This window comes from Homo sapiens, chromosome 6, assembly GCF_000001405.40.
Source record: "Homo sapiens chromosome 6, GRCh38.p14 Primary Assembly".
Classification (NCBI taxonomy): Eukaryota; Metazoa; Chordata; class Mammalia; order Primates; family Hominidae; genus Homo; species Homo sapiens.
Window position 1 is genome coordinate 76,730,628 of NC_000006.12, and position 10,899 is coordinate 76,741,526.

The window sequence follows — 10,899 nt, forward strand, 5'->3', positions numbered from 1 at the left end:
TAAAAATGGGAGTTTCTCTGCGCAAGCTCTTTTGTTTTTTTGCCTGCCACCATCCACGTAAGATGTTACTTGCTCCTTCTTGCCTTCTGCCATGATTGTGAGGTTTCCCCAGCCACATGGCACTGTGAGTCCAATTAAACCTCTTTCTTTCACAAATTTCCCAGTCTTGGGTATGTCTTTATCAGTAGCATGAAAATGGACTAATACACAGGTTGTGCAAGTAGTTCTTTTTTCACATGGCTTTCTGACTTCATTTTGGAGCTGTGAACCGAAGTGATGTCATTTTGTATATCACATCTCATGTACAAAACACTATTTGGCAAAACTGTAAAGAAGGTTCCATGGAAAAGAGAACTCCATGGCTGTGGTTGGCCTCCCTAAAACGGCCACATCTTTATCTCCCAGAATCTGTGAATATGTTCTTACATGACTGTAGGGACTTTTCACATGTGATTAAAAGATGGGTAAGATTATTGCAGAATATTTTTGTGGGCCCAGTGCAATTTACTAGGGTCCTTATAAGACAGAAACAAAAGGATCTGGGTAAGAGGTATGACAATGAAAGTAGAGGGACAGGAAAGAGATTCGAAGATCCTGCTGGCTTGAAGATGGAGGATGAAGTCATGACTCCAGAAATGCAGAAAGCCTGTGGAAGATAAAAAAGGCTTCTAGATTCTTCCCTAGAACATCCAGAGGGAATGTGGCCCTGACATGAAAAGAGTCCTCTTTTTCATGGAAACTTCTTTACAGTCTTGCCAAATAGTGTTTTGTACATAAGGCGACCCTTTTCAGACTTTGGAACTGTAAAAGAACAAATCCGTATTGCTTCAAGCCACTAAGTCTGCAGTAATTTGTTATAGCAGCAATAGGGAACTAATGCACTGGCCAAATAAATTTCAGAAATGCTACATGCTTTCTTATCTTTTAGAAAATGTACAGAGTATATTAGCATAAAAATATTAATGCTTAATACTAAAACATTTAATAGAATTGCAGTAATTTTCCCCTTGGAAAGGAGCTTTCATGGACAGAGAGCTTTGGTTGTGAATGACCTTAATTACTTGGCTATATTTTTGTTTATAACCTGCTCCACACTCAATGAATCCAAGGTGTTGTAAATTAGAAGACTGAGTTATGAACAGTATCTTGACCATTGTTCTGGAAGGATACAGACTTACTTCATGACTCCTTTATTCAGTTGATGCATTTTAGTTACTGTATTTTCTCTGTGTTTTCTGCTCATACAGAATGGTAGCCCTGTAGATAATAGGTTTATGCTTGTATTAATAATTGTTCGGAATGGCTGCTGGTTTACAGATTAATGTTTTTTGCTAACAAGCTTGAGTAATGTTTAATTTTATGACAGCAGGGGTTTTAAATAATAATGCATCTTTTAAAAAATCACTATGTTCTGAGAAATATTTTATAATGAACTCTATATTTTAGGATGAAACGTTCTGATTCATCAATTATTAGAAACTTTGAGATTTTTTTTTCAGTGCATTATCAATGTAGTTTAGAATAACTGGCTTTTTTTCTTTTTGCATGGGTTTGGCACATGTTGATTAGAGAGAAAACCAACATAAAGGTCAAGTGACTTTTAATTTAATTAATTAATTGATTATTTTTTAAGTGATGGGGATCCACTCAAGTGATCCTCCCACCTGAGCCTCTTGAGTGTCTGGTTCTACCCAAATTCAGTGACACAAACCTGTCAGGTGGCTTTTTAAAATGTTTTTTGGAATAAATTTCTGGGTAGATAAGTATACATACCAGAAATTTAAGTGTATATTACCATAATAATGTCAATAATTAATACCAAAACATCTAATAGAATTGCAATAATTTTCCCCTAGGAAAGCTGCTTTTGAGGACAGAGAGCTTTGGTTTGAATGAACTTAATTACTTATAAAATTACAAGTATAGTAAAATGACTTTTCTATAGTCATTTTAGGGACAGTATAGTATACAGTGCTATATAGCAGAATAGTACAATAAATAGCATCTTTACTTACATTTGCAGTAAAATTTTTGAAATCTCTAAAATCATGCTATGCTATTTTAGCAAAAGCAAAAAAAGTAAAAATATAGAAAAATATAACACAAAAATAAAATCTACCAATAATTAAATAAGGACAGTATAGTATACTGTACTGTCCCTAAAATACATAGTAAAATGACTCACATAGTACAATAAGTTTTGAGATATTAAAATGCATTTTTCCTAATTTGTTGTTGGCTTCCCTTAAGGGACGTACTAGAATTAAATTTGTTTCTCTGGCATTCCAAATATGTCTCACATTGAAGTATCACATTATAGAACTGGAGATAGCACAAAAATAAAGGGGACTTCAATAATGTAGAACAAGTAAGTGCGTATCCTATTTATTTTTAAAAATATTAAATTTCTAATTTAAGCCAGGCATGCAACTAAGTGCTTCCTAGAAATAAATTTTGTCCCTGCTTTCAGTGTGCTTACAATACAATTTTTCAAAATCTCCATTTTTTCCATCTCCTTGACTTACATATAAAACTCAGAGATTTGTGTTAATAAATTTTCACTATTAAAAATGGTGGCTTAGTACAGTATGGAGTTTTTAGTCTTAAAAGGCTTCAGGTGCCCAGGATGATTCTCTTGATCCAGGTCAAGGTTCTAACAGTGATATTAAGTGTGCATTTTGAGATGGATCACCTGACTTTCTCATGTGAAAAACAGAGATAGTAACTACTACCTGTCTGAGAATCTCATGGAAGTGTGATGACCAAAAGAGATGTAATTTATGATAAGCCTTGACTACTGCAAATAGTTGTCCCAGGGAATGGCTTGACTGATGGAAGCACCAATTTATCAATAGCAGTAATTCTCTAAGTGTGGTCATCGGACAGCAATGTCCATATGTCCTAGAACCTTGTTAGAAATGCAAATTATCTACCCTCATTCAAGACTTGTTGAATTAGAACCACTAGGCTTTAATGAGCCCTCCAGGTGATTCTGATACAAGATGAAGTATGATAAGCACAGCTCTAATAGATTGCTAAATGTACTAGTCTCTGCTCTGAGCTCAGAAAATGTTCTGTTAATGATTTTCAACCCAGAAATCTTCAACAGGAGTCTTCATCTTCAAAAGTATCTATGGAGACATTGTCACATGCCAAGAAGTCTACATTTTCATTTTTGATGCTCAAGTTATTTTCTAGCTGTTTTTAGCTCTTAGTTGAGAAAAAGTCCTTATTTAATTATTGGTAGATTTTATTTTTGTGTTATATTTCTCTACATTTTTACTTTTTTTGCTTTTGCGAAAATAGCATAGCATGATTTTAGAGATTTCAAAAGTTTTACTGCAAATGTAAGTAAAGTTGCTATTTATTGAACTATTCTGCTACTATTTTAAACATAGCATCTTATTTAATCATTATTAATTTATTTTACCTGTGACTCAAAGAAATTATATAGTTAGTAAATAGTATACTTAGAATCCAAAGATGGAGCTATTTAATTCCAGGGTAAGAGATTTCATCATTTCTTCATGCTGCCTTCCAAACAGAACAACCTATGGCACGCTTCCCAGTATCCAAAACCAACGCTAATTTTTTATCTTAAACTTTGAACATAAAGTTTCAAGACTATTTTGTAAATAAAGGGTTGAAACAATTTTTCTGATCCAGAATTTTATGAGATATGCTTTGTGATAGTAAAGCTAGAACTTTGGCTAGGAAGAAAAACTTCCCAATTTTTTTTAAGGCAATTTCTCAGGCAGATACAATTCTTGCACCAAATCTTTAGAAGGGAGCTTATAAAATATAACTGCAAACTAAATATATTTACAAATAAATATTCAAAATTCCAAAATTTAAAGATAACAACTAGGAATCAAATTATTTTTATTTTATTATTATTTTTAAAACACAAAACTTTTTATTATGGAAATTTGCAAACATATATAAAAGTAGAGAGAATAGAATAATGAACCCTAAGTTACACATGACCCAGCTTCAACAATTGTCAAAATATGGCCAATTTTGTTCCTTCTGTACTCCCTCATTTCCTCTGGATCTCCACCTATTATTTTAAAGTAAATCCCAATTATCATGTAATTTCCATCTGTAAATATTTCCAAATAGAGACAATAACTCTATTTTTAAAACAGAACCATAATGCCATTATCATATCTTTAAAAATTAACAGTAATTTATCAATTTCTTCTAGATTTTCTAGTTTATTTGTGTAAGGGGTTTATAGTATTCTCGGATCATGGTTTGTATTTCTGTGGGATCGGTGGTGATATTCCCTTTATCATTTTTTATTGCATCTATTTGATTCTTCTCTCTTTTCTTCTTTATTAGTCTTGCTAGCGGTCTATCAATTTTGTTGATCTCTTCAGAAAACCAGCTCCTGGATTCACTGATTTTTTGAAGGCTTTTTTGTGTCTCTATCTCCTTCAGTTCTGCTCTGATCTTAGTTATTTCTTCCCTTCTGCTAGCTTTTGAATGTGTTTGCTATTGCTTCTCTAGTTCTTTTAATTGTGATGTTACGGTGTCAATTTTAGATCTTTCCTACTTTCTCTTGTGGGCATTTAGTGCTATAAATTTCCCTGTACACACTGCTTTAAATGTATCCCAGAGATTCTGGTATGTTGTGTCTTTGTTTTCATTGGTTTCAAAGGACATCTTTATTTCTGCCTTCATTTCGTTATGTACCCAGCAGTCCACATACACCCTCCCAAGACTAAACCAGGAAGAAGTTGAATCCCTGAATAGACCAATAACAGGCTCTGAAATTGAGGAAATAATTAATAGTCTACCAACCAAAAAAAGTCCAGGACCAGATGGATTCACAGCCGAATTCTACCAGAGGTAAAAGGAGGAATTGCTACCATTCTTTCTGAAACTATTCCAATCAATAGAAAAAGAGGGAATCCTCCCTAACTCATTTTATGAGGCCAGCATCATCCTGATACCAAAGCCTGGCAGAGACACAACCAAAAAAGAGAATTTTAGACCAATATCCTTGATGAACATTGATGCAAAAATCCTCAATAAAATACTGGCAAACTGAATCCAGCAGCACATCAAAAAGCTTATCCACCATGATCAAGTGGGCTTCGTCCCTGGGATATAAGGCTGGTTCAACATACGCAAATCAATAAAGATAATCCATCATATAAACAGAACCAAAGACAAAAACCACGTGATTATCTCAATAGATGCAGAAAAGGCCTTTGACAAAATTCAACAGCCCTTCATGCTAAAACCTCTCAATAAATTAGGTATTGATGGGACGTATCTCAAAATAATAACAGCTATTTATGACAGACCCACAGCCAATATCATACTGAATGGGCAAAAACTGGAAGCATTCCCTTTTACAACTGGCACAAGACAGGGATGCCCTCTCTCACCACTCCTATTCAATATAGTGTTGGAAGTTCTGGCAAGGACAATCAGGCAGGAGAAAGAAATAAAGGGTACTCAATTAGGAAAAGAGGAAGTCAAATTGTCCCTGTTTGCAGATGAAATGATTGTATATTTACAAAAACCCATTGTCTCAGCCCAAAATCCCCTTAAGCTGATAAGCAACTTCAGTAAAGTCTCAGCATACAAAATCAACATGCAAAAATCACAAGCATTCTTATACACCAATAACAGACAAACAGAGAGCCAAATCATGAGTGAACTCCCATTCACAATTGCTTCAAAGAGAATAAAATACCTAGGAAGCCAATTTACAAGGGATGTGAAGGACTTCTTCAAGGAGAAGTACAAACCACTGCTCAAAGAAATAAAAGAGGACACAAACAAACGTAAGAATATTCCATGCTCATGGATAGGAAGAATCAATATTGTGAAAATGGCCATAGTATCCAAAGTAATTTACCAAAGATTCAATGCCATCCGCATCAAACTACCAATGACTTTCTTCACAGAATTGGAAAAACTACTTTAAAATTCATATGGAACCAAAAAACAGCATGCATTGCCAAGACAATCCTAAGCCAAAAGAACAAAGCTGCAGGCATCACGCTACCTGACTTCAAACTATACTACAAGGCTACAGTAACCAAAACAGCATGGTACTGGTACCAAAGCAGAAATATAGACCAATGGAACAGAACAGAGACCTCGGAAATAATACCACACATCTACAACCATTTGATCTTTGACAAACCTGACAAAAACAAGAAATGGGGAAAGGATTCCCTATTTAATAAATGGTGCTGGGAAAACTGGCTAGCCATATGTAGAAAGCTGAAACTGGATCCCTTCCTTACACCTTATACAAAAATTAATTCAAGATGGATTAAAAGACTTAAATGTTAGACCTAAAACCATAAAAACCCTAGAAGAAAACCTAGGCAATACCATTCGGGACATAGGCAAGGGCAAGGACTTCATGTCTAAAACACCAAAAGCAATGGCAACAAAAGCTAAAATTGACAAATGGGATCTAATTAAACTAAAGAGCTTCTGCACAGCAAAAGAAACTACCATCAGAGTGAACAGGCAACCTACAGAATGGGAGAAAGTTTTTGCAATCTACTCATCTGACAAAAGGCTAACATCAGAATCTACAAAGAACTCAAACAAACTTACAAGAAAAATACAAACAACCCCATCAAAAAGTGGGCTAAGGATATGAACAGACACTCCTCAAAAGAAGACATTTATGCAGCCAAAAGACACGTGAAAAAATGCTCATCATTATTGGCCATCGGAGAAATGCAAATCAAAACCACAATGTGATACCATCTCACACCAGTTAGAATGGCGTTCATTAAAAAGTCAGGAAACAACTGGTGCTGGAGAGGATGTGGAGAAATAGGAACACTTTTACACTGTTGGTGGGACTGTAAACTAGTTCAACCATTGTGGAAGACAGTGTGGCGATTCCTCAAGAATCTAGAACTAGAAATACCATTTGACCCAGCCATCCCATTACTGGGTATATACCCAAAGGATTATAAATCATGCTGGTATAAAGACACATGCACACATATGTTTATTGCGGCACTATTCACAATAGCAAAGACTTGGAAGCAACCCAAATGTCCATCAATGATAGACTGGATTAAGAAAATGTGGCATATATACATGATGGAATACTATGCAGCCATAAAAAAGGATGATTTCATGTCCTTTATAGGGACATGGATGAAGCTGGAAACCATCATTCTGAGCAAACTATCGCAAGGACAAAAAACCAAACACCGCATGTTCTCACTCATAGTTGGGAATTGAACAATGAGAACACCTGGACACAGGAAGGGGAACACCACACACTGGGGCCTGTCCTGGGGTCGGGGGATGGGGGAGGGATAGCATTAGGAGATAGACCTAATGTAAATGACGAGTTAATGGGTGCAGCACACCAACATGGCACATGTATACATATGTAACAAACCTGCACGTTGTGCACATGTACCATAGAACTTAAAGTATAATTAAAAGAAATTAACAGTAATTTATTACTGTCATCTAATATCCAGCCAATGTTCAATTTTCCCTATTGTCTATACATAGCCATTTTTTCCCCCAGTTGATATGTTTGAATCAAGATCAAAACCAAATCTGTATACCTTAATTTGTTGGTAGGTCTTTTAAGTCTCTTCTAATTTCTAAATTTCTGCTTCCCCCATTCTTCTTACAACTTGATTGTTGTAGAAAATAAGTCCTTTATTTTGTAGAATATCCCAGATTCTGGCTTTGGCTGATTGCATTCTTGTGGCATCATTTAACTTGTTCTTTTCTATACTTCTTTTAAACTGATAGTTGGGTCTAGAGGCTCTATTAGATTAAGTTGATTATTTGGCAAAACTACTTCAAAGGCAACACTGTGAGCTTCCTATTATTAATATATCATATCATAATGAATATACAGTCTGGTTATCTGGTTTTTTTGTGTGTTGTAAGATTGATCTGTGAGTTCAAGTGATATTATCTTCACCCATTTATTATAAATTTGTAAGATTCTGGAGAATATGTTTCTGCAGTTAGGGCTTTCTGAATAAATTTTACAAAAATGTGTTTCCTGGCCTGAGAGCAAGCTTAGAAGGCAATTTATGACTGATCAGATAATGAAAACCTTCCAAAGAGATTGACCTAACTCTGGCAGTAAGAGGCTCAGGGCCTTGTATACATCTCTGAGTTGTCAAACTGGAGACACTGGGCCCATCTTTTTCCTCAGAGGTTTACTTTCATACCAAAGGGTTAGGTTAAGGATCCTTCCATCTGATCTCCAAGGATACTCAGAAGGCGAGGAGGGAGAGTGATGTCTTTGCTTTTTAGAAACAAAAGAAATCCACATTTTGTTGTATGTCACTTATAGAGTGACCCACCACTTGTATAGGGCATTTATTCCATCTGGCACTCACATGGTACTCTGAAGGCAGGCTGGGTGTGGGGACCAATGCTGCAGTGTTACTTCACTTGTTGATCTTTTTGTTGAGTGTAAAAAGAAATCTGCCTCTGATCTTAAAACCTTGTGTGTGTATTCAGAAAACATTAATAGAGATGAATATTAAAAGCCTAACAATCGCAAAGGAAACAATCAACAGATTGAAAAGGGAACCTATGGAACGGGAGAAAATATTTGCAGATGATGTACCTGATAAGAGGTTAACATCTAAAATATATAAGAACTGCAAATAACTTATTAGCAAAGAAAAAAAATCCAAAAATGGGCTAAAGACCTAAACAAATATTTCTTATAAGAAGACATGCAAATGGTCAATGGTTATGTAGAAAAGGTGTTCAATATCACTAATAATCAGGGAAATGCAAATCAAAACCATGGAGATATCACCTCACACCTATCAGAATGCCTACTATCAAAAAGATAAAAGATAAAGTATTGGTAAACTCTTAGAGGAAAGGGAAACCTTGTAAGCTGTTGGTGGGAATGTAAACTGGCGAAGTCACCATGAAAAACACTATGGAAGTTCCTCAAAAAATCAAAAATACCATACTACCATATGGATCCAACAATCCCACTTCTGGGTATATATCCAAAGGAAAGTATTATTATTATTTATTTTATATTTCCATAGATTTTTTGGGAAACAGGTGGCATTTAGTTACATGAATAACTTTTTAGTGATGATTTGTGAGATTTTGGTGCACCCATCACCAGAGCAGTATACACTGAATCCAATTTGTAGTCTTTTATCCTTCATCCTCTTCCCACACTTTCCCCTTGAGTCCCCAAAGTCCATTATGTTGCTTTATGACTTTGCATCCTCATAGCTTAGCTCCCACTTATGAGTGAGAACATACAACGTTTGGTTTTCCATTCCTGAGTAACTTCACTTAGAATAAGTCTCCAATCCCATCCAGGTTGCTGCAAATGCCTTTAATTCATTCTTGTTATGGCTGAGTAGTATTCCATCATATATATATATATATATATATGATGGTATATATATATATATATATATATATATGCACACACCACAGTTTCTTTAACTACTCGTTGATTGATGGGCATTTGGGTTGGTTCCACATTTTTGCAATTGTGAATTGTGCTGCTATAAACATACATGTGTAAGTATCTTTTTTGTATAATGACTTCTTTTCCTCTGGGTAGATACCCAGCAGTGGGATTGCTGGATCAAATGGTAATTCTACTTTTAGTCCCTTAAGGATCCTCCAAACTGTTTTCCACAGTGGCTGCACCAGTTTACATTCCCACCAGCAGTGTAGAAGTGTTCCCCTTTCATCACATCCATGCCAGAGTCTATTATTTTTTAATTTTTTGTTTATTCTGGCTATTTTTGCGGGAGTAAGGTGGTATTGCGTTTTGGTTTTGATTTGCACTTTCCTGATCATCAGTGATGCTGAGCACCTTTTCATATGTTTGTTGGCCATTTGTATATCCTGTTTCGAGAATCATCTATTCATGTCCCTAGCCCACCCTTTGATGTGATTTTTTTCTTGCTGATTTGTGTGAGTTCATTGTAGATTCTGAATATTAATCCTTTGTCAGATGTATACATTTTGAAGATTTTCTTTCACTCTGTTGGTTTACTGTTTACTCTGCTGACTGTTCCTTTTGCCATGCAAAAGCTCTTTAGTTTAATTAAGTCCCACCTATTTATCTTTGTTTTTATTGTATTTGCTTTTGGGTTCTTGGTCATGAAATCCTTGCCTAAGCCCAATGTCTAGAAAGGTTTTTCTGATGTTATCTCCTAGAATTTTTAATAGTTTCAGGTGTTAGATTTAAGTCGTTGATCCATCTTGAGTTTTGTGTACAGTGAGAGATGAGGATGTAGTTTCATTCTCCCACATGTGGCTTGCCAATTATACCAGCACCATTTGTTGAATAGGGTGTCCTTTCCCCACTTTGTTCTTGTTTGCTTTGTCAAAGACCAGTTGGCTGTAAATATTTAGGTTTATTTCTGGGATCTCTATTTTGTTCCACTGGTCTGTGTGCCTGTTTTTATACCAGTACCATGCTGTTTTGGTGACTATAGCCTTATAGTATAGTTTGAAATCAGGTAATGTGATGCCTCCAGATTTGTTCTTTTCACTTAATCTTGCTTTGGCTCTGTGGGCTCTTTTTTTGTTCTATATGAATTTTAGGATTGTCTTTTCTAGTTCTGTGGAGAATGATAGTGGTATTTTTATGAGAATTGCACTGAATTTGTAGATTGCTTTTGGCAGTATGGTCATTTTCACAATATTGATTCTACCCATCTGTGAGCATGGGATGTGTTTCCATTTGTTTGCGTCATTTATGATTTTTTTCAGCAGTGTTTTGTAGTTTTCCTTGTGGAAGTCTTTCACCTCCTTGGTTAGATATATTCCTAAGTATTTTATTTTATTTTTTTTGCAGGTATTGTAAAAGGAGTTGAGTTCTTGATTTGAGTCTCAGCTTGGTCACTGTGGGTGTATAGGAGAGTTACT